The sequence below is a fragment of the Homo sapiens genome, chromosome 1 (assembly GCF_000001405.40).
Source record: "Homo sapiens chromosome 1, GRCh38.p14 Primary Assembly".
Lineage (NCBI taxonomy): Eukaryota > Metazoa > Chordata > Mammalia > Primates > Hominidae > Homo > Homo sapiens.
In genome coordinates, this window is record NC_000001.11 from 112,485,592 (window position 1) to 112,509,658 (window position 24,067).

At 46.9% G+C, this 24,067-nt stretch overlaps 1 protein-coding gene across 3 annotated transcripts in view, besides 8 other annotated features; it reads left to right on the forward strand.

Moving 5' to 3' along the window:
• WNT2B (Wnt family member 2B) overlaps nucleotides 1-24,067 on the forward strand; it is a 63,625-nt gene that overhangs the window by 19,051 nt on the left and 20,507 nt on the right. The window contains exon 2 of one of the 3 annotated variants that reach the window (NM_004185.4): nucleotides 5,420-5,490. The exons of 1 other annotated variant lie outside the window; for it this stretch is intronic. In NM_004185.4, coding sequence (NP_004176.2) covers nucleotides 5,420-5,490 — 71 coding nt within the window. Of the gene's footprint in view, nucleotides 1-5,419; nucleotides 5,491-23,373; nucleotides 23,854-24,067 lie in introns of those variants that run through there. One more of the 3 variants, NM_024494.3, reaches the window with a different exon arrangement.
• Nucleotides 16,686-16,775: a silencer, noted in NCBI's record as "silent region_1196". NCBI's record gives its function as "represses an Ori minimal core promoter by ATAC-STARR-seq in GM12878 lymphoblastoid cells {active_cell/tissue: GM12878}" and the evidence as "EXISTENCE:reporter gene assay evidence [ECO:0000049][PMID:35858748]".
• Nucleotides 22,642-23,185: an enhancer, noted in NCBI's record as "H3K4me1 hESC enhancer chr1:113050855-113051398 (GRCh37/hg19 assembly coordinates)". NCBI's record gives its function as "activates a minimal SCP1, AML or CMV promoter by ChIP-STARR-seq in naive H9 embryonic stem cells {active_cell/tissue: H9 hESC(naive)}" and the evidence as "EXISTENCE:reporter gene assay evidence [ECO:0000049][PMID:30033119]".
• Nucleotides 22,642-23,292: a biological region, named in NCBI's record as "H3K4me1 hESC enhancer GRCh37_chr1:113050855-113051398".
• Nucleotides 23,163-23,292: a silencer, noted in NCBI's record as "silent region_1197". NCBI's record gives its function as "represses an Ori minimal core promoter by ATAC-STARR-seq in GM12878 lymphoblastoid cells {active_cell/tissue: GM12878}" and the evidence as "EXISTENCE:reporter gene assay evidence [ECO:0000049][PMID:35858748]".
• Nucleotides 23,303-23,412: a silencer, noted in NCBI's record as "silent region_1198". NCBI's record gives its function as "represses an Ori minimal core promoter by ATAC-STARR-seq in GM12878 lymphoblastoid cells {active_cell/tissue: GM12878}" and the evidence as "EXISTENCE:reporter gene assay evidence [ECO:0000049][PMID:35858748]".
• Nucleotides 23,473-23,552: a silencer, noted in NCBI's record as "silent region_1199". NCBI's record gives its function as "represses an Ori minimal core promoter by ATAC-STARR-seq in GM12878 lymphoblastoid cells {active_cell/tissue: GM12878}" and the evidence as "EXISTENCE:reporter gene assay evidence [ECO:0000049][PMID:35858748]".
• Nucleotides 23,613-23,722: a silencer, noted in NCBI's record as "silent region_1200". NCBI's record gives its function as "represses an Ori minimal core promoter by ATAC-STARR-seq in GM12878 lymphoblastoid cells {active_cell/tissue: GM12878}" and the evidence as "EXISTENCE:reporter gene assay evidence [ECO:0000049][PMID:35858748]".
• Nucleotides 23,716-24,010: a silencer, noted in NCBI's record as "tiled region #8072; K562 Repressive non-DNase unmatched - State 20:ReprD". NCBI's record gives its function as "represses a minimal TATA promoter and a strong SV40 promoter by Sharpr-MPRA in K562 cells {active_cell/tissue: K562}" and the evidence as "EXISTENCE:reporter gene assay evidence [ECO:0000049][PMID:27701403]".

Here is a 24,067-nt window from a genome sequence, read left to right on the forward strand (position 1 = left end):
TTTTTTGACAAAGGTGCAAATGCAATTCAATGGAGAAAGCGTAATCTTTTCAATAAATGGTACTGAAACAACTGGATATCTATATGCAAAAACTAAGCTTTGATCCATACATCACACCATATACAAAAATTAACTGAAGATATATTTTCGACCTAAATGTAAAACCTAAAAAAACTGTAAAACTTCTAGAAGAAAATGTAACAGAAAATCTTTGTAACCTTGGGTTAGGTAAAGATTTCTCTTAATATACCAAAAGCAGCCAGGCCCAGTGGCATGTGCCTCTAATCCCAGCTACTTTTTCTGAATTCATTGACATGATCATATGGGATTTTTTGACTTGTTAATATGGTGAAATACATTGATTGATTTTCAAATATTAAACCATTTATGCATTCCTTCCATAAACCCAATTGGTCATTTATGTATTATCTTTTTATATATTGTTGGGTTTGATTTGATAAAACACCAGCTACTGGAAGGCTGGGAGGATTGCTTGAGCCCAGGAGTTCAAGACCAGCCTGGGCAAGATAATGAGTTTTTAACACACACACACACACACACACACACCAGGCTGGGTGCTGTGGCTCATGCCTGTAATCCTAGCACTTTGGGAGGCCAAGGCAGGTGGATCCCTTGAGCTCAGCAGTTTGAGGCCAGCCTGGGCAACATAGCGAGACCCCATCTCTACAAAAAAATTTTTAATTAGTTGGGCATGGTGTTAAGTGCCTGTAGTCCCAGTTATTCAGGAGTCTGATGTGGGAGGTTGGCTTGAGCTTCAGAGGCAATGGTTGCAATGAGCCAAGGTCACACCACTGCACTCCATCCTGGGCAACAGAGCCAGACCCTGTCTCAAAAACAAAACAAAACAAAAGAACATACCAAAAGCACTACCCATAAAGAACCAATTGATAAATTGGACTTTATCAAAATTTAAAACTTCTGCTGTTCAAAAACATTATTAAAAGAATGAAAAGACAAGCCATTAACTAGGAGAATATACTTTCAAATCACACATTTAATAAAAGACTTATATCCAGAACATATGAAGAACTTTCTAAAGTTAATAAGAAAAAAAAAACCCAATAAAAATAGGGGAAATATTTTACTAGAAACTTCAAAAAAGACATACAGTAGGCAAATGAAAAGATCATTAGTCATTAGGGAAATGCAAATTAAAACCACAATGAGATAGCAATACATACCTACTAGAAAGCCTAAAATTAAAAGAACTTTTTATATTATGTGTTGACGAGAATGTAGAGCAACTAGAACTGCAAATGGGAGTATAAATGATACAACAACTTTGGAACATATTTCGATAGTTTCTTTAGAAAACATACATTAACCTGCCACATGATTCAGTTATCCCATGCCTAGGTATTTACTCAAAAGAAATGAGGGTATATTCTATGCAAAGGTTGTAAAATAATGTTCATAACAGTTTTACATGTCAAAGCCAAAAACTTGTAATTACCCAAATAGCCATCAACAAGTGAATAGATAAGTAAACTGTGATATATCCATACAATGGAATACTATTCAACAATAAAAAGAATGCAGCTACATGAATGAATCTCAATTATGCTAGTGAAAGAAGACATTTAAAATCAATACACACTATATGATTCTGTTTATTTAAAATTCTATAAATGCAAGATAAGATACAGTAAATAAAAGATTCGTGGTTGCCTGGGGATTGGGGGAGGGAGCAAAGAGAATAGAAATGTGATTACAAAGGTGTGATATAATAAGAAATATATACAGATGCTTCTCAATTTATGATAGCAGGGTTACCTCCTAATAAACCTATCATAAATTTAAAATACCATGTCAAAAATGTATTTAAGACACCTAATCTGCTGAACATCTCATTGCTTAGTGTAGCCTACCTTAAATGTGCTCAGAACACATTAGCCTACAGTTGGACAAAATCATCTAACACAATCCCTATTTTATAATAAAGTGTTGAATATCTCATGTAATTTATTGAATACTAAAGTGAAAAACAGTATAAGTATTGAAGTAGTTTGTGGAAATAAGTAATTCAAAATCTAAGCTGGGCTGGGTGTGGTAGCTCACGCCTGTAATCCCAACACTTTGGGAGGCTGAAGCGGGTGGATTGCTTGAGGTCAGGAGTTCAAGACCAGCCTGGCCAACATGGTGAAACCCTGTCTCTACTAAAATTACAAAAATTAGCCAGGCATGGTGGCACATGCCTGTAAACCCAGCTATGTCAGGAGGTTGAGGCACAAGAATTGCTTGAACCAAGGAGACAGAGGTTGCAATGAGCCGAGATTGCGCCACTGCACTCCAGCCTGGGTGACACAGAGAGGCTCTGACTCAAAAAAAAAAAAAAAAAAAAAAAAAATCTAAGCTGTTGGTAGACGACTCATATAAAAAATTTTTTAAAAACAAAATCTGGCCAGGCACAGTAGTTCACGCCCATAATCCCACCACTTTGAGAGGCCAAGGCGGGCAAATCACTGGAGCTCAGAAGTTTGAAGAGATCAGCCTGGCCAACATGGTGGAACTCCGTCTCTACCAAAAATAAAAAAATTAGCTGGGCAGGGTGGTGCACGCCTAGTAATCCCAGCTATTTGGGAGGCTGAGGCTGGAGAATTATTTGAACTAGGGAGGTAGAGTTTGCAGTTAGCCGAGATCGCTCCACTGCATTGCAGCCTGGGTGACAGAGCAAGACTCTGTCTCAAACAAACAAACAACAACAACAAAACACACACACACACACACACAAACTCTAAAATATTTTGCGCCTTAAGGGAACACGATTATGGCACCTGAGTCACATGACAGGCAGTCAAAACCTTTGTTTATCTGATTAGATTGGCCTTCTTCCTTACCTGCCTTACCTGCCTTGTTTTGTAAATGCTGTAAATAACTAAAGAGTGTTTAGTGATGTTGCACTATGGAAGGGAAGACTCCTTCCTTCTTTATTTACTTACTGTTTTTTTTTTTTTTTTGAGATAGAGTCTCGCTCTGTCGCCCATGCTGGAGTGCAGTGTCACGATCCTGGCTCACTGCAAGCTCCACCACCCGGGTTCACACCATTCTCCTGCCTCAGCCTCCCGAGTAGCTGGGACTACAGGCGCTCGCCACCATGCCCGGCTAATTTTTTTTTGTATTTTTAATAAAGACAGGTTTTCACCATGTTAACCAGGATGGTCTCGATCTCCTGACCTCGTGATCTGCCTGCCTCGGCCTCCCAAGGTGCTGGGATTACAAGCATGAGCCACTGTGCCTGGCCCTTTATTTACCGTTTTTTTAGAGACAGGATTTTCCTATGTCACCCAGGCTGGTCTCCAACTTCTGGGCTTAAGCAATCCTCCCACCTAGGCCTCCCAAATGGGAATTCTCATTCACTGTTGTGAGAGTGTAAATTGCAGTGAAATTAAGCATCTGTGCATCCTAAAACCAAGCAATCCCAGATAAATTTGCACTCTTAAAGGTCAGGTATGAAGATGTTTGCGGAGGCATTTTTTGATATTTTTGATAGCATGGGTTCAAGGTACTTAGATGTTCACTGGGAGAACAGGTAGCAAATTGTGGTGGCTATCACTACAGAATACAGTGCAACACTTTGAGGGAATGAACTATGCACATCTATATAGTAACAAGGACAGATTTTTTTTTAACATGAGAGTGTAAAAAAAAGAAAAAGAAAAAAAAAGGCCAGGCACAGTGGCTCACACCTTTAATCCCAGCACTTTGGGAGGCCGAGGCGGGCAGATTACAAAAGGTCAGGAGTTCAAGACCAGCATGGCCAACATGGTGAAAGCCCATCTCTACTAAAAATACAAAAAAAAAATTAGCCGGGCATGGCAGCAGGCACCTATAATCCCAGCTACTCGGGAGGCTGAGGCAGGAGAATCACTTGAACCCAGGAGGTGGAGGCTGCAGTGAGCCGAGATCACGCCATTGCACTCCAGCCTGGGTGACAGAGGGAGACTCTGTCTCAAAAACAAACAAACAAAAAACCCAAAGAGGTCTAAAGTCCATTGCATTATTCCCAGCAATTCACTCCCTTCTACCAGTTGTCATAAAACTTGCAATGCCAATACTCGCAATGGATATATTTCCTCATCCCATTGTTGAGTTTAGTTATCATGTGTGGGAGCAGATGTGACACATGCCAATTCAAGCTGAAGTTTTAAGAAACATCACAAATTCTGCCTATTTTTTTTTTACTATTCCTTTTGCAAGAAAATATAGCATGTCCCTCGCCAGTATGTTCCTTCAGCCCAGATCCTAAAGTGAGAAGATGGAGGAAGAGAACTTCAGTCTCCACCCACAATTACTGGTTTTTAGGATTTTAAATTTTAGGATTTTTTTCTTACTGCTGCAAGTCTAATACAAGCTTCATGTCAGAATATCATTTATAAAAATTAAAAATTAGAAATACACATGCAAACAACATAAAAGAATACATATATATCCAAGTGCATATTTCAGTTACATTAGAGTGGATGCCTATTACCAGGGGAAGGAATAAGAGTGGGAAATGGGATACAGGAAATAAAGAAACAAACAAGAGAGACACCTCGCACAGGTCGATGATGATCAGTGTTAAGAACTAAGCAGTAGCATTAACTCGACTCTCTGCATGTGCTGTACAAAGACAACAAAAACCTCTGGAGTGACAAGTAACTGTTGGAGAAAGGTCCTGGGGGACTTGGAAGAGGAGGGAATTCACAATCCAGGTAGAGAAAATCGGCCTTGGGATCACCTCCTCGTTCTGAGAGAGAAGCTGAGAGAAAGGCTTCTTAGGGATTCTGTTTTCAATGTAACCTGTACCAAAGGTGTTCTTCCAAGTGTGAGTGAGAAAGGGGCTCAAAGAGAGAGAGATAAGAGAACAATAAATTACTTTTCTCAAAGAACTCATATTCTTTTTTTTTTTTTTTGAGACGGAGTCTCGCTCTGTCTCCCAGGTTGGAGTGCAGAGGCAGGATCTCAGCTCACTGCAAGCTCCGCCTCCCGGGTTCACGCCATTCTCCTGCCTCAGCCTCCCTAGTAGCTGGGACTACCGGCGCCCATCACCACACCCGGCTAATTTTTTGTATTTTTAGTAGAGACAGGCTTTCACCGTGTTAGCCAGGATGGTCTCGATCTCCTGACCTCGTGATCTGCCCACCTCAGCCTCCCAAAGTGCTGGGATTACAGGCGTGAGCCCCCGCGCCCGGCCAAAGAACTCATATTCTTAATGAAAAGACTAAAATGCCCATTTTTGTATTTCAAATCCTACTCATCTATCAAGGTCTAGGCCAAAATTTACCTCTTCCGGAAAGATCCCCCCTGGATTCCCAATAGCTCTACCCTAAATAAATCTACAAATCACTCCTCTTCCTGCTGAAAATCCATAGCATTTATTATGTTAAATTGCGCCTGTGTTTTCTTTTCCGACCAGACTGAAGGATCCTTGAGGACGGCAGTACCTGGCATACCTACACAGTCAGCGTTCAACAAGTGTTTGCAAAGGTACATGATAATTAAAATGTCAGATAACCAATTATAAAAAATAAATTGGCCTGCACGGTGGCTCGTGCCTGTAATCCCAGCACTTTCAGAGGCTGAGGCGGGTGGATCACAAGGGCAAGAGTTCGAGACCAGCCTGGCCAACATGGTGAAACTCCGTCTCTACCAAAAATACAAAAATTAGCTGGGCGTGGTGGTGGGCGCCTGTAATCCCAGCTACTGGGAGACTGAGGCAGGAGAATTGCTTGAACCCAGGAGGCAGAGGTTGCAGTGAGCTGAGATTGCACCACTGCACTCCAGCCTGGGCAACAGAGCAAGACTCCGTCTCAATAAATAAATAAATAAGTCAACAGATCAGATAGCATTTCAGAAGAGGCTAAGAACATGTTGAACTGTTCAGGAAAGACTACATGGAATAGGGCCTTGAAAGAAGGGCAGGAATCAGCTAATTAGAAGACAGGAAGAGCATTTCAGGCCAAGGGAAAATGGTAAATAAACACAAAGAGTTAGAAGGATTGGAGGGAGGGCCAGGTGCGGTGGCTCATACCTGTAATCCCAGCACTTTGGGAGGCCAAGGCGGGCAGATTACTTGAGCTCAGGGGTTCAAGACCAACCTATTCAACATAGACCACATCTCTACAGAAAATTTTTAAAATAAAAAAATTAGCTAGGTATGGAGGCCCACACCTGTGGTCCTAACTACTCAGGAGGCTAAAGTGGGAGGATCACTTGAGCCTGGGAATTTGAGGCTGCAGTGAGCCATGATTGTGCCACCGTACTCCTGCCTGGGTGACAGAGCAAGATCTTGTCTCAAAAAATTTTTTCCAATAAAATAATTTTATTTATGTTCATAAATGTATTAGGGAAAATTTAGGATATGAGTTTCATCATCATGGGAGTGAGAACAACTTCCTAAGTAAGATAGTAACCTGGAAGCCATAAACATATATGTATGACAAGTCACGTAAATAAAATTAAGAGAGAAAGAAAAGAATAGGAAAAGACATTTTCAAAATATATACAAAGGACTTATTTTCCACAATATGTAAAGAAACTATTATAAATCAATATAAAAAAGACACTCAAGATTTAGCAATTTCCCATCTGGCATGTAAAAAGCTTGCAAGTCATCGCCCCAGCCTAACAATAAGTAAAAACCTGAACAAACTGAAAAATCAACACCCTTCTTACATCCACCAGAGTCATGAGGCCACAGGGCAAACCACTGCTTCCTAAATTGCAGAGACAGGCAGGCAAATGCAGGGAATCACAGCTTACCAGAGCAGAAACCCATGAGCAGGAACCAGTACCAGGGTACCAAAACCTGAGCTGTAATTGATGAATTGCTGGAGACTCAGTATGGACAACTCTGAGAATTAAAAACTCCAGGGGAAGCCAGTCATGGGAGGACCTCACATATTGTGAGTTTTACCTCCTAGAGCTCACCAGGTTCTCACAGTAAATATCAGAAAAATATCCCCTGTGCTTCTGGCTGGGGGAAGGAAAAGTAACCATTTCTAAATACACCTAAGCATTCTGTTCTTCTTAACAAGTCCTGTTCTCTCAAGAGAAACTATTTTGCCAGAACCTAAGCTTTTATTATTACTTTTTTTGCAGAGTCTATCCAAACTAGGGGAAGGAAAATATCCAGTTTCAGCCCGCTGTAGCCTTTACATTGGGGAAGGGAATATTAAATTCCATCCCACTCTAACCATCCTATACTACCTAAGGAGTGGAAGGATTGAGAAGCTTTTGCGAGGTGCGCAGTCCAGAGGCACAGGCTCACTAAATGACAGAGACCTAAGCATAGAACTATAGAATGCTTCCTCACTTCTTAACACCTTAACACATTACTAAATGCCTATTTACAGCATTTCTTTTTGTCTAATACATCATGCCTGGCTATCAAGAAAAAACTACAAGGCACACCAAAATGCAAAGAAGACAGTTTGAAAAGTCAAAACAGGCACCAGAACCAGACTCAGATATGGCAGGGATATTGGAATTATCATACTGGGAATTTTTAAAAAACTGTGATCAATATGTTAAGAGCTCTCTCTAATGGGTAAAGTAGACAGCATGCAAAAACAGGCAATGTTAACAAAGAGAAAGGAGAAGCAAGAAATGCTAGAGATCCTGCTCCATCAATAGCACTACGACGAAAGAATGCCTTTGATGAGTTTGTTAGTGGACTGGGTCCAGCTGAGGAAAGAGGCTCTGCACATAAGGCTACCTCAAAAGAAACTTTCAAAACTGAAAAGCAGCTAGACATGATGGCTCACACCTGTAATCCCAGCACTTCAGGAGGCTGGGAGGATTGCTTGAGCCCAGGAGTTCGAGACCAGCCTGGGCAACATAGTGAGACCCTGCCTTTACAAAAAAATGTATTTTGAATCAGCCAGGCATGGTGGTGCACGCTTGTGGTCCCAGCTACTCAAGAGGCTGAGATGAGAGGATCACTTGAGCCTGGGAGACTGAGGCTGCAATGAGCTGTGATCACACCCTTACACTCCAGTCTGGGCAACGGAGCAAGACCCTATCTCAAAAATAAAACGAAACCAAAACTGAAAAGCAAAGAGAAAAAAGACTAGAAAGAAGAAAAAGAATAACCAAGAACGGCGGGACAACTATAAAAGGTATAACATGTATAATGAGAATACCATAAAGAGAAAAAATAGAGAAAGGAACAGAAATATTTGAAGCAATGACTGTGAATTTCCCCCAAATTAATGTTGGCCACCAAACCACAGGTCCAAGAAGTTCAGTGAACACCAAGCAGATTAAATGACAAAAACGAAACCAACAACGACAAAAACACTACACCTAGGCATATCATATTTAAAACTGCAAAAAATCTAAGACAAAAAAAAAAAAACGATATTGAAAGAAGCCAGCGATGAGAAAAAAACCCTTACTTATAGAGAAGCAAAGATAAAAAGTACATCTACCGGCCAGGCGCGGTGGCTCATGCCTGTAATCCCAGCACTTTGGGAGGCTGAGGCGGGTGGATTGCCTGAGATCAGGAGTTCAAGACCAGCCTGACCAATATGGTGAAACCCCATCTCTACTAAAAATACAAAAATTAGCCATGCTTGGTGGCGTGCGCCTGTAGTCCCAGCTACTCGGGAGGCTGAGGCGGGAGAATCGTTTGAACCCGAGAAGCGGAGGTTGCAGTGAACAGAGATCGTGCCACTGCACTCTAGCCTGGGCAACAGAGAGACGATCCGTTTCAAAAAAAAAAATTATATCTACCTTCTCCTCAGGAACTATGCAAGCAAGAAGAAAGCGGAGAAAAATATATATATTTTAAGACACGGTCTTGCTCTATCACCCAGGCTAGAGTACAGTGGCACAATCATGGCTCACTGCAACCATGACCTCCTGGGCTCCAGCAATCATCCTGCCTCAGCTTCTGAGTAGCTAGAGCCACAGGCACACACCACCACACCTGGCTAATTATTTTATCTTATTTTTGTAGAGACAAAGTCTCTCTTTTGTAGAGAAGGGCCCAGGCTGGAGTAAAATATTTAAAGTATTGAGATATAAAAACCACTACCTTAGAAATCTGAACCATGTGAAATTATCCTTTAAAAATGAAGGTGAAGTAAACACTGTCTCAGACAAACAAAAAATAGGAGAATTTGTTGCCATTGGACTGGCCTTGCCAGAAATGTTAAAAGAAATTCTTTAGAGAGAAGCAAAATAATAGGTCAGAAACGTGGATCTACTTAAAGGAAGAAAGAACATCAGAGAAGGAACAAGTGAAGGTAAAACAAAAACTTTTCATATTCTTAATTGTTCTAACAGATAACAGTTTGTTCAAAATAAAAATAGCAATAGTATATTTGATTATGTATGCTTATATATATTCACATGCTTATGTACAAGTGAAATAAATGACAGAAATAATACAAGGGATTAGAGGGAGGAACTAGTATTATTTTGTTATTACAAGGTACTCACCCTACTGATGAAGCAGTATAGTATTATTTGAAAGTGGATTTGGGTTAGTTATAAATGTCTATTCTGACCACTAAGCAATGTAAAAAAATAAGTATAACTAATATGCTAAGAAAGGAGGGAAAATTGAATCATATGAAATGTTTATTTAAAACCACAAAAGGCAGATAAAAGAGCAGAAGACAAAAATAGGTACAAAGTATAAAAGCAACAACAGAAAACAGTAACAAATATGGTAGATATAAATCCAGCTATAGGCCAGGCGTGGTGGCTCACGTCTGTAATCCCAGCACTTTGGGAGGCTGAGGTGGGCAGATCACGAGGTCAGGAGATCGAGACCATCCTGGCTAACATGGTGAAACCCCCGTCTCTACTAAAAATACAAAAAAAACAAAAAAAAATTAGCTGGGCATGGTGGCGAGTGCCTATAGTCCCAGCTACTAGGGAGGCTGAGGCAGGAGAATGGCGTGAACCCAGAAGGCGGAGCTTGCAGCCAGCCAAGAACGCGCCACTGCGCTCCAGCCTGGGTGACAGAGCGAGACTCTGTCTCAAAAAAAAAAAAAAAAATCCAGCTATATCAATAATCACTTTAAACCACAATGGTCTGAATACACCAATTTGATGACAGAGATTGTCAGACTGATCAAACAATAAGACCCAACAATATCTGTTGTCTATAAGAAATCAAATATAAACAAAAACACTATTTTCATCTGTTTTGCTGCCGTAATAAAATAGCACAGATTGGGCAGTTTATAAAGGACAGAAATTTATGTCTCACAGTTCTGCAGGCTGGGAAGTCCAAGATCGAGGTGCTGGCAGGTTCCTTGTCTGGTGAGGGCCAGGTGTCTTGAATGCTGAATCCTCCAGAGTGGAGGACTGCTGGATCTTCACATGGCAGAAGGGCAAAAAGGATAAACTCCCTCTGTGAAGCCCTTATATAAGGGCATCTAATCCCATTCAGGAGGGCTCCACCCTCATAACTTAATTACTTCCCGAAGACCCCACCTTTCAATAGTGTCACATTAATAGTGCCATTAAGTTTCAACATGAATTCCATGGGGGATGGATGGGTGTTTGTTTTTGTTTCTTAGAGACAGGGTCCCCCTCTGTCATCCAGGTTAGAGTACAGCGATGTAATCATAGCTCACTGCAAGCCTCGACCTCCTGGGCTCAAGGAATCATCCTGCTTTAGCCTCCCGAGTAGCTAGGACTACAGGCATTTGCCAGCACTCCTGGCTAAGTTTCAACATGAATTTTAGAAGGTACACATTCAAATTTTAGAAGGGATGCATTCTGCCTCTGGCCCCCACAAAGTCATGTCCTTCCCATGTGCAAAATACTCATTCCATCCCAACAGCCCCCAAAGTCTTAACTCATTCCAGCATCAACTCAAAAGTCTAAGGTCCACAGTCTCATCTAAATCACATATGAGTGAGACTCAGTGCATGATTCATCCTGAGGCAAATTTCCCTCCAGCTATGAGCCCACGAAACCAAACAACTTACATGCTTCCAAAATGTAATAGTGGGACAGGTGTAGGACAGACGTTTCTTTTTCTTTTTTGTTTTTTTTTTTCGAGACGGAGTTTCACTCTTGTTGCCCAGGCTGGAGCGCAATGGTATGATCTTGGCTCACCACAACCTCCTCCTCCCGGGTTCAAGTGATTCTCCTGCCTCAGCCTCCTGAGTAGCTGGGATTACAGGCATGTACCACTACGCCCGGCTACTTTTGTATTTTTAGTAGAGACAGGGTTTCTCCATGTTGGTCAGGCTGGTCTCGAACTCACGACCTCCGGTGATCTGCCCGCCTCAGCCTCCCAAAGTGCTGGATTACAGGCGTGAGCCACTGTGCCCAGCCCAGGACTTACATTTCTAGTCCAAACTGGAGCAATCAGAAAGAAGGAGTAACAGGTCCCAAGTAAGTCTAAAACCCAAGGCAAACAACGTTAAATCCTATGACTGGAGAATAATCTTCTTTGACTCCATGTCCTGCCTTCCAGACACACTTCCCACAAGCGTTGGGCCCCCAAGCCCCTGAGCAGCCCCACTCCCACAGTTTTGCTGGAACCAGCCTACACAGCAGCTCTTATGGGTTGGAATAGGGTACCTGTGGCTTTCCCAAGGCTGGCATTGCAAGTCCATGCCTCAACGGGTCTGAGGTCTCAGGGGTGGTCCTGCCCCCACAACTCCACTAGGTATTGCCTTCGTGTGGGGATCTCTGTGGCAGCCCTGTTCCTGCAGCAAGTCTTTGCCCGGGCCCTGAGGTTGTCTGAGGCATCCTTTCAAATCTAGATGGAGGTAGCCATGCCTCCACAGCTCTTGCACTGTGCGTCCCTGCAGAGTTAGCACTACATGGACGCTGCCAAGGTTTATGGCTTGTGCCTTCTGGGGCAGCAGCCCCAGCTGCACCTAGACCCACATAGCAAAGATTTTAAATGGCCCTGGGCAGGAAATCCTGAGGTCTCACAGGTGCCCTAGGCACTCCCCCAATAACATTCTGCTTCTGAGGCCCTACCACTCAAAGCCTGTGATGGGCACAACAGCCACAAAGACCTCCAAAATGTCTTTGGGTCATTCTCCCATTGTCTTGATGAATACCACCTGACTTCCTTCTATCCTTATTAATCTCCTTACCAAACAGTCACTTGGCCACACCTTTGGTTTTCTCTCTAAACATGCTTTTTTATTCTTTACATGACGAGGCTGAGAATTTTCCAAATCTCTACATTTTGCTTCTCTTTTTTATTAAGAAATTCCATCTTAAAATCGTTTCTCTGCTTGCATTTTACTATAAGCAGTTAAGAGAAGCCATGTAGTACCCCGAGCACTTTGCTGCTTAGCTATTCCTTCCACCAAATATCCTAGTTCATCACTCTTTTTTTTTTTTAAGTTCCGGGATACATGTGCAGAATGTGCAGGTTTGTTATATAGGTATACATGTACCATGGTGGTTTGCTGCACCTGTCAACCCGTCGTCATCTAGATTTTAAGCCCCGCATGCATTAGATATTTGTCCTAACGATCTCTGTCCCCTTTCCCCCCCAACCCCCGATAGGCCCCGGTGTGTGTTGTTCCCCTCCTTGTGTCCAACTCCCACTTATGAGTGAGAACATGCAGTGTTTGTTTTTCTGTTCCTGTGTTAGTTTGCTGAGAATGGTGGCTTCTAGCTGCATCCATGTCCCTGTAAAGGACATGATCTCATTCCTTTTTTTTTTTAGTTTGTTTTGTTTTGAGGCGGAGTCTCACTCTGTTGCCCAGGCTGGAATGCAGTGGTGCCATCTTGGCTCACTGCAACCTCTACCTCCTGGGTTCAAGTGACTCTCCTGCCTCAGCCTCCCAAGTAGCTGGGATTACAGGCTAATTTTTGTATTTTTAGTAGAGACAGGGTTTCACCATGTTGGCCAGGCTGGTCTCAAACACCTGACCTCAGGTGATCCACCCACCTCGGCCTCCCAAAGTGCTGGGATTACAGACTTGAGCCACCACACCCAGCCAATCTCTCTCTTTTTTTTTTTAATGGCTGCACTAGTTCACCACTCTTAAATTTTGCCTTCCACTAAATTCTAGGACATGGACATAACACGGTCAAGTTCTTTGCCACTTTGTAACAAAGATGGCCTTTCCTCCAGTTTGGAAATTGTTTCCCATTTCCATCTGAGGCCTCATCAGAATAGTCTTCACTGTCCATATTTTTACCAGCATTCTGGTCATGATCACTTAGGTAATCATTAAGAGAGAAGCTTTCCCTATATAGCTCTTCTTTTCTGATCCTTTAGTGTAGTAGAATCACCCTTAATACTCCATTCACACCAATGTAAGTTTTTCCATCATTCACTTCAAAACCGTTCCAGCCTCTATCCATTACCCAATTTCAAAGCTGCTTCCAGCTGGGCGCGGTGGCTCACGCCTGTAATTCCAGCACTTTGGGAGGCCGAGGCAGGTGGATCACGAGGTGAAGAGTTTGAGACTAGCCTGACCAACATGGTGAAACCCCATCTCTACTAAAAATACAAAAATTAGCCGGTCGTGGTGGCGTGCGCCTGTAATCCCAGTTACTAAGGAGGCTGAGGCAGGAGAATGGCTTGAACCCAGGAGGTGGAGGTTGCAGTGAGCCAAGATCACGCCACTGCACTCCAGCCTGGGCGACAGAGCAAGACTGTCTCAAAAAAAAAAAAAAAAAAGCCACTTCCACTAAGACCAAAACAATGCAATTCTCCACAATCTCTTCCAGAAGACAGAAGCAGAGGACATACTTCCTAACTTATTCTATAAGTCCAGCATTACTCTAATACCAAAACCAGACAAAGACATTATATGAAAACTCAGACTAATATCTCTCATGAACACAGATGCAAAAATCCACAAAATATTAGCAAATCAAGTCCAATAATGTATAAAAAGAATTAGGCACCATCTGGGATTTATCCCAGATATGCAAGGCTGATTCAACATTTGAAAATCAATTAATATAACCTGTCACATTAACAGTCTAAAAAGGAAAAATCACATGATCATATCAATAAATGCAGAAAAAGCATACAACAAAACCCCACACCCATTCATTAAACTCTCATCAACTAGGAATAGAGGTAAACTTCCTCAATTTGATTAAAAAACAGGTACAAAAACCCTATAGCTAACATATTTAATGTCAAACTTACTAAATCAGAGTGTTATCATTGCATGGTGGAAACTCAGGTTGCTATGCAGGGGTGAAGGTATTTCATCAGAAAGAAAAATAACTCAGACTCCAGAATTGTTTCTAATCATCCAACAATCATATATTGTTCACTATTCTAGGAGTTGTAACACTTCTCAGTATGTTCAGGAGAAATGACAGGAGTAACTGTCTCATTGCTAAATAATTGTGCACAGTGGGGAGTACAGTGTCTTGATCATTAATTCCACAAAGCTGCTATGAGCAGAGGCACGATGGTCATGTTGACATGAACCAGGGAGTCTTAAAAGGGTAGATGGTTGGGAAAAAAGCGAGGGTATGACGACAGGCATAATCAGAGAACTCAAAAGTGATGTCAAAGTTAGGAACTTTGAACTGAGGATCTCAAATCACAGTAACGGATAAGATTGCTAAGGTAGTGACTCTCCAAGAGGTTCATAGTAATACTAAGCTGTTATTTGTTCATGTTTCCCTCGTTCTGTCATGAATGTACAATGGAGCTTTCCAGAGGCTACATTATCACACCAGACTGAATGTAGAAGCACATAAGAGAATTCTGCTATTAAGCCGGACATTAAAGATAGAGTATTTGCAAAAATGTTAAATAATGCCACTCTTTTCATGCTTTTTGTTTTGGAAATTATAGGTATTTTCCCATAAAAATATGGTATTAATATTAACAAGTATTGGGGTTATTATCGCTAATAATAAAAAAATTAAAATAAATATTTTTAAATGTTTCCATTTTGATCTGATAAAATACATTTTAGGCCAGGTGCAGTAGCTCATGCCTATAATCCCAGAACTTTGGGAGGTTGAGGCAGGAGGATTGCTTTAGCCCAGGAGTTCAAGACCAGCCTGGGCAACATAGTGAGACCCCGTCACTAAAAAAAATTTTTTTTAATTATTTAGGCATGGTGGTGCATACCTGTAGTCCCAGCTAATCGGGAGACTGAGGAGGGAAGATGGCTTGAGCCCAGGAGTTCAGGGCAAGCCATGATCGTGCCACTACACTCCAGCTTGGGCAAGAGAGCAAGGCCCTGTCTCAAAAAATAAAAATAAATTAAAATCTTATATTTTAGAGCAGTTTTTAGATTTACAGAAAAATTGCAAAGATAGTACAAAGTGCCCATATATCCCAGTTTTCCCGATTACAAACATCTTTCTTACACTACAAATGTATGGTACAGTTGTCACAACAGTGGACCAATACTAATATATTATTATTAATTAAAGTCCATACTTTGTTCAGAACGCCTCAGTTTTTCCCCAGTGTCCTCTTCCTTTTCCAGGATCCTATCCAAGTTATAATATTACATTTACTTGTCGTGTCTCCTTAGGCGCCTCTTGGCTGTGACAGTTGCTCAGACTTTCCTTGTTTTTCATGACCTTGACAGTTTTAAGGAGTACTAGTCAGGTATTTTGTAGAATGTCCCCCTGGTGGAATTTACCAGGTGTTTTTTTCTTGATTAGACCGGGGTAATGGGGAGGAGGACCACAGAGGGAAAGTGTTGTTTTATCGCATCATATCAAGAGTACATACTATCAACCTGACACTGGTATGTTGACCTTGATCACCCAGTGAGGTTGTATTTGTCAGCTTTCTCCACTGTGAAGTTGCTTTTCCCCTCCACACTCCCTGTCTGTACAATACTCTTGGAAAAAGGTCACGATGCATAGCCCACACTTAAGTAGTAGGGAGTTGTATGTCACCTCCTTCAGGGCAGAATACCCACATACATTATTTGGGATTCTGTATAGGAAATTTGTCTCTTCTCCTCCATTTATTTATTCATTCAATCATTTATTTGTATCAGCATGGACTCATGGGTATTTAATTTTATGCTTTGGGTTACAATCGAAAACTGTTTTGTTTTGTTGCCCAAATTGTCCAGCTTTGGCCACTGGGAACTTTTCAGTTGGCTCCTGAGTTTATGTTAATTTTTAATATGGATAGCTATTACCCACATAAACAAAAGCTCTTTGGGGTCCTTGATAATTTGTGAGTGTAAAGAGGTCCTGAGACCAAAATGTTTGAGAACCACCGCTCTAGGGATCCTCTGGCTGACCCGAATCCCCGGTGTGTGTGCGCGCTTCGTCTGCAGGTAGGAGTTGTGGTCTGGACAGAAGCAAAGTAGGCCACACTCGCCTGCCCTTGGGAACACCCACTTCTCCGTGCCACGCCCGCTCCTAAGGTTTTCTTCGGGCAGAAACGCGGGGATCCCCAAGAAGACGAAGCTCAGGCTGCCATGCCTTTCCCGCGAACGCCACGGCGCGGCGCCCGGTTCACAGGGCGAGTCGCCCACCCGCGAGTCGGAAAGCGCCCGGAATCTTGGCTAAAGCTCAGCGTTCTCCTCCGGGGCTGGGGCCCTGGCCAGGCCTGGCCTGAGCGGTCTCCCCTCACTCTGCGGCTCGCTCTCCCGGGCTACTCCGGCGCGCAGGTGCTGCGCCCGCGGGAGAGAGCGATCCTGCGGCCGTGGCGGACGCCGGGAGGAGCCACCGGGCTCTCCTCTCAGGAGCGCGTCCCCGTGCCCTCCAGCTGCCCGTCCCTGCTGAAAGCATCCGGACAGCTCCCCGGGCCGCGGCCCTGGGGCCCGCCAGAGCCCTGCCCTGCACCCCGCTCTCCCCTCTCTGGCCCGGAGGGCTGCGCCGGGCAGATCCTTTCCTCTGCAAGACAGAGACAAGCAGCGATAAACAGCTAAAGCTGGAGACCCGGCTAAATGATACAATAAGTTCTCTAATTGCCTCGAAAATAAGGTAATGATTTGGCAGAGGGAATGCTTTGATCTTATCAGGCAAGAGAGACCTCTCCAAAGGAAACCTCAGAGAAGGGCTGGAGGCCTCGGACTTGGGGGTGTGAAGCCCAAGGACAGCCTGCTTTCCCCGCCCTCCCCCGACCCTGCGTGTCCACGGTCCCCAGCCTCACCCTCCGGCTTTTCATGGAAAGACCCTTCTCCTGTGATGACTGGAGGAGAGTACACACACATAACACAGGGGTTAGGAGAGGAGGAGGGGGTGGGTTCTGGGTTTTTCAGGAACAGGAGGACGGCTGAAATGACTGGTGCAGTTTTAGAGAGGCTATAGAGAAGGAAATTGGGGGAGAGGGGATTGCGGACAGGGATTATGGAAAACCTGACTTGGCTCAAGTCTGATGATGTTTCTTACACAGTGAGGGCTGCTGATTTGAGCTTTTCAGGCAGGAGGGAGTGACAAAGGGAGGAGAACTTTGAGTGTCCTGCCTTCTCCAAGAATCTGCACACACACTCACACACACACCATTGCTCTGCGCTGTGGGTGTCCCTGCCTGGCAGAGGCCCCAGCACAAAGAGGATTAGAGAGATGAGCTAATCTGGTTTGTATCCCAGACATGGCCCCAGAAAGGGACCTTGTCCACCCTGATATGTAAGGATGTGAAGGAGTGAGGAGTCTTTCTTTGGGGGCCTGCTGGCTAACAGTACCAGAGACCCCACTCCACTGGAGTCCCTGGGATACTGCAGTCCTGACTTCAGGGTCAGATTTAGGAAGCAGAAAGACGGTCGGTCCCACAGAAGGAACTAGATCTCTACCCTACTTGTTTCACCAGTGGGGAAACTGAGGCCTGAAGTGGGAAAGTGATTTACAGAGTCATGCCAATAGTGCATGGCTGAGTTGGGGGAAAAAACCCTCAGGTTTTCTGACTTTTTACTGGTCCAGTGCTCCCTGCACTGTGTTGCAGGAGCTGCAAGGGAGAGGTATGAGACAGAGAGAGGGCAAGAGAAAGAGAGAGACGAAGACAGAAGCAAACATACACACCAAGGAAAATAGAGGTGCGCACACACCCACATGCACAGAGAGACGGAGAAAGCCACAGAGAGTCAGAAACAACATGGAGAGACAGATGGAGAGAGTGAAGAAAGAGCAAGACAAACGGTCATACAGATTCATACAGAGAGATACACACGGAGAGACAGGGAGTGACACAATCTGACAGGGAGACAGGCAAGAGACAGGGATTCAGAAAGAGAAGGACAGAGACATTCAGACAGGGAGGGGGAGGCAGGCCAACTTAGACACATAGAGAGACAAATGAAGACAGGGAGATAAACACAAGAGACAGATGCAAATAGACAGAGAATGACAGAAACAAGAGCCAGAGAGAGACCCAGGGAGATGGAGACTCAGAGAAGAGACATGGGGAGAGTATGAGAACAAGAGGCAGCGTGAACTGAGGAAGGCAGAGTGGGAGGGAGGCAGGCCATGCCCTCTGCAGATATTTGTCCATTGGAAACAACTCTCACTTCCAGATCATTCTAGGGCCCAGAACAGGTGGTAGGGAGAGAAAGAGGGCTTAGTGCTTAGCCTGTGTGATACAGGCAGACTGGGAACCCTCCCTTGGGGAGAGGCTGGTCAGTTGACCACCCAGGATCCCAGCAGCACACCCACTGGCCTCACACAGAACCTGGGCCACCCGCCCGGAATGGCCGTCAGCCCGCCCACTGCCTGGCTCCAGTCTGATTACAGCCAAAGTGCCAAAAGGCTCCAGACACCCCCATTCCCTGCCCCCATCGTCTCACCTCCCCACGCCTCCTCTCCTCCTTCCCCTTCTCCTTTACATCCCTCTCTTCCTTTCTTCCTAGTCCTCAGGGGAGCAGTTTGTGCCCCTGTTTAGCCACTAGCTGGGAGGAAAGGGGTTCTCCTCCATCAAGCCCCCTTTCCTGGTTTGGAGCTGGATGCTCCTTCCCTCCAAAGCCCTTTTGGTCTGGCCTCTTTGAGACACGTTCCACGCCTCGCCTAAGAGCTCATAAATACCAAGGAGAGGCCGGCCAGGCTGTGTACAAAGCGTGGATCCCCACTCTTTTCCCCCCTTAACAGCTCCTGGGTTCTTCCCAAGCTTCCTTTACTTCCCCAGACACCTGCATGGGGTGGCAGGGCAAGAGGTGAGGCATTAGTTACCTGTGTGAACCTGGCCCTATTTCAAATAAGACCTGCCTCGGTTTGCAAAGAAATCTCAGGAAAGGCGTCTCAGGGCCCCTTGTGCAAGCAGCAGGCTCAGGAATTCCTTGACTCCCATCCAAACCTCCCCCCAGCCCCTTCTTGGCCTTTCTCTCTGCTCATTACCATCCACACCACCTCCCACCCACCGGGAAAAAGAGAAGGTCATCGCCAAAGGGGCCCAGGGAAGGGGAGCCTTCTGGAGGATAGAGCAGGGTGGGGTAAGAGCTGTTTACCCACACCCCAGCTCCCCTTAGCTCATCTCCCCTCCCATCCAAGGGCCAGCAAAAATTCAAAATCATTCAGCCACGCATAGCTGAGAACAGAGTGAAAAGAAATCTTAACTCTGTCCCACCAGAGAGCAGAGCATAAGGTGACATCAAGGGTGACAGTGGACCCTTCTTCTTTGGGCACCCACTTTTGAGAGGACAGGAGGAGGCTCTAGTGCCACTATGGGGAAGAGGGTGGACCTGACTCTGCTGGCTGGGTGGAAGCTGTCCTGCTGGAGGCCCCAGGTAATCTGGCAGCTTTCAGGGGACCTGGGATTCTTCCTCAGGTCTCTACTGATACTGTTCACTATGTCTGCAGCATGCACCCTTGAACTTCAGCAGAGCCTAGTGTGCCACCCACAGACGGTTTTATTATATTTCCATGAAAATGCCTTGGGAGTAATGCCTTTTGCTCCTTGTTATTTAGGATACCCTGGCCAGTGTTGGGCACACAGCAGGTGCTCAGTAAGTGCTGACTTGACTCCATGCAGGGTTCTACAGACCAGAACTTAACTCTGAGATCAGTGACTCCTCCCTCTGGCTCCCAGAACTGAGAGTGAGAGTGTGGAATAAAATGAAGATGCAGGTCAGGAGCTAGCTTGAGCCTCTGGCCTTGACCCTCTGCCTGGCAGCCCCACAACAAGCCTTTGCGTGAGGAGCTGAGCTCTCCAGTAGTGTCTAGGACCTTGAGACTGGAAGTTTATTTTGAGATTTGAAGCTCCAAAGAGGCAGATCCCAGAAAACCTCTTCTCTGGCTCCATATTTGTTCTCTAGTTAAGTGGTTGAGTGCAGCTCTTGCAGTCAGCTGGCTCCTGCAGCCTGGGATTCCTCCCGGGGAACTGGGGACTCAGAGGAGAGGGGACAAAGAAGCAGAAGGAGCCAAGCCTCATCCTAGGTTGTCCACTCTGGGGGCAGAGGTGACTTGTAAACCTTAGAGAGAAGTCTAGTCCCCTCACCCACTTCCTTCCCTCTCAGAGCTGCTGATGTTTCTGGCTGTACCCCCCTCACCCCTCCCTTCAGCTCAGAAACATGCTTTAAAATTTTTTTTATTTCTATTTATTTATTTTGAGACAGGGTCTCACTCTGTTGCCCAGGCTGGGTGCAGTGGTGCATTCATGCCTCACTGCAGCCTTGACTTCCTGGGCGTAAACAATCCTGTTGCCTCAGCCTCTCAAGTAGCTGGGACCACAGGTGTGCATGACCACACCTGGCTAATTTAAAAAATTTTTTGGGTCTCACCGTATTGACCAGGCTAGTCTCTAACTCCTGTGCTCAAGCCATCCTCCCAACTCGGCCTCCCAATGTGCTGGGATTACAGGCGTAAGCCACCAAGCCTGGGCCTCAAAAACATGCTTTAATACTTGAGCATCTGTGTTGTGCCAAGACACAGTCCCACTTGACTGTAAAGACAGCTCAGGCCAAAGAAGGGGCCTCAGAAGTGATTTGGGGGCCCATGTGGGCGAGTCCACTCTAGGTTAGGGCTGATGTGATCATCTTCAGCCAACTTTCCCCCTCCCTGCGCTTTCCACCAACCCCAGGCCCTGTGTAGAAATAAACACAGGGCCAGAGTCACACCCAGGTCTAAACACACAGGGGAGTCTGGGAGAGGCTGCTGGAGCTCCAAGACTGCCCTGTGTAGGGATGGGGCTGGGTTGGGAGGAGGTAAAAGAGTGGTCCAAGGAAAGAGGCCCAGCCAAGAAGGAGCCTGGGCTCATTCCTCTCCCACCTGCCCCTCTCAGGAAAACTAAGCACAGAGTCTGTGCCTTTCTAAGGAAATAGCCAGGCCAACTGGAGCCCACCCGACAAAAAGAAAGGGAGAGAAGGGGAAGAAAATAAGTTAGCCTGTTGGCCACAAAGGATATGGTCCCAGTTTCTGTGCCAGGAAGTCGGCCCTGAGAAGTGTCTGTATTCAGTCCTCTCCAACTCCCATCCAACTCCAGCCCAGCCCCCACTTTCCACCCAAGTGGGGAGCACTGCCTCCCATTCATGACTTGGAGCACCTCAGGGACTCATCTGAATTCTCTTCCTCCACGCACTCCGCTCCAGCTGGATGGCCTTCTCGATAACCCTCGTACACCAGCCCACTCCTGCCTTTGGGTCCCTGTACGGGCTCTGCCCTCGGCTTAGGATGCTCTTCACCAGGAAGCTGCCTGGCTTGATTCCTTGCCTCCTTCAAATCTCTGCTTGCATGTCACCTTAATGAGGCCTACCCTGATCATCCTAGTTGCAACTGTAACCATCCCCTTGACTGTGCTCTCTTTACCACTGCACTTACTACTTTTTAACATACTCTGTTTTACTTCTGATGTTTATTGTTTATGGTCTATCCTCCTGCAATAGAAGGCAAACTCCATGAGGGCATAGACTGTTCACCAATGGGTCCCTAGTGCCTAGCACAGTCCTGGCATGTGGTAGGAAATAAGTATTTGTTGAATTAATGAATGCACTCATCACCTTACCACAGAAAGTGGGGGTAAAGGAGTGTCACTGTAGGTTGGGGACAGGAGGGAAGTGCTTGCAGCCCCTTCCCACTCTGCCCGCCCACAGAAGTTGGGGCTGCGGAGTGAGGGGCGCTAGGACCCGGAGGCGGTGGGGAGAGAGGTTAAAGGTTCCTCTGAAACCTTCTCCACTATCTCTGTCTCTGAGATGTCTGCAGCCAGCTGCACCCCATCTGCTTACACTCGGGAGGCACCTCTAACGCCACCACCGCCCCCCACCCCCAACCAAAGACTGACAGTGAATTTGGAGTTGGGGGCATCGGCAGTTACTAGTAAGTTGTTTACCCCAGGACTTTAAAATCATATGAGGAGGCAGGAAAGACACCTGCGAGGTGGGAGAAACTGAGGCTGAAGAAGCGACTGGAGCCAGATCCCAGGTGAACTCTGAACTCTCGAAGTTAAGCCCAGGATTTTAAAAAGAATTTTACTTCTGACGGAGGGCCACAGTGCCCGCAGGGCCCGTACCTGCTATCCTGGGAGGTTTGAGGGTTGGGGTGGTGGGGAGAGGAGAGTCTCTTTCGGCAGACTGCACCTCCCCACCCCTTCCCTATTTACCACGCCCCCAGGCGCTGTGCGGGCGGAGGGAGGGTGAAGGAGCAGTGGGGAGGAGGCAGGGCGAGAAGACGAAGGAGGGAAAAAGCTCCAGGGCTTCCACTCTCTCGGCAGGACCCCCACCCTGGCCTCTGGTGCGGGAAAACCTCCCAGCTGTTTCTGATTCTTTCATACTCTCAGCCCCGCCCGAGAGGGTGGAGGACCGAGGCACAGAGGGGGAGCGGGGAGAGACTGAGCTCCGCTGAGCCCAGGAGTAAGGGGCGGGGAGTCCGCAGGTGCCCCCTTAGCGTCGGCAGTCGATTCCCGGTCCGTAAAGAAAAGCACCCGGGCCGGGCAGGCCGGGCAAGCAGGAGCCAGGTCTAAACGTGATGCATTGGGGGTGGGGGGTGCAGTGGCTCAGAAGAAGCAGGGGCGATGAGCTCTAGCTGAAAGCATCCCCTGCTAGAAGCCGACTGCCCACGGCGCTCCTGTAGGCAGTGTTGAAAAGGTAGTTAAGACCTCCAACTCCCGGTGGCAGGGACTCTACCCATTTCACAGAAGCGCAAGGATGGAGGAAATGAGTGCATCCTCCGTGCTCAGCGCCGGTGTCACTGTAGGTTGGGGACAGGAGGGAAGTGCCCGCATCCCCTTCCCGCTCCGCCAGCCTGGCCGTCACCCATAGAAGTGGGGCTGCTGAGTGAAGGGCGCTAGGACCCGGTGGCGCGGTGTCGGCAGGGACTGGGCGCTTGGGGCGCAGGAGGGAGCCGCGGCGTCCCGTCGCAGCGTGCGGGAGCAGGTGGGGGTGCAGCGCGGTGGCGCGCGGGAGCCCCGAGGGGCGGAGGCGGCTGCTACACCTAGGGCGTCGCGGAGCGCCCCGGGCTTGGCGCGGGCGGAGCCGCCCTAAGGGCCGCGCGTGTCCCCGGCCTCGGCCCCGCCCCGTCCCGTCCAATGAGAGCCCGCGGCCGAAGGGGCTGTCCGCACACTAGGCCCGCAGCTCCCTTCAGCGCCGCAGACCCCCTGACACCGCACCCGGTCCTCAGGCAGCGCGCCCCAGACCCCGGGTTCGGCACGCCGTCGTCGGCTTCCGGACATCGCAACTTGCGCCCCTCTCGGGGATCCTCCTCCCGGGCTCTGGACCCCAGGTGATCCTAGGTCCCCAGCCGCCGGCGAACACCATGGCCCCCCAGGGGGGTGAGGTAGGAGCAGCCTGAGTACCCCCAGAAGGTGCCCCGTCCACGCCCCTCCGGGCTGCGCGGCGGGAGTCTTCGGGGAGCTATGCTGAGACCGGGTGGTGCGGAGGAAGCTGCGCAGCTCCCGCTTCGGCGCGCCAGCGCCCCGGTCCCTGTGCCGTCGCCCGCGGCCCCCGACGGCTCCCGGGCTTCGGCCCGCCTAGGTCTTGCCTGCCTTCTGCTCCTGCTGCTGCTGACGCTGCCGGCCCGCGTAGACACGTCCTGGTGGTAAGTGTGGCTCTCAGGCTGGGCGGGTGAGGCGCTTGGTAGGAGAGGCCGGAGGCGCCTGGAGGGACTGGCTGCTCACGGGACCAGGCTGTTGCTTCGACGGGTTGGAGACGATTCGGGCAGGACTGTCACTGAAATCTGAAGTCGCGGGGTGGCGGGAGGGTGAGGCGCCGCGTCTTACACGACTGGTGAGAAAGGCGCTGGGCATTCGGAG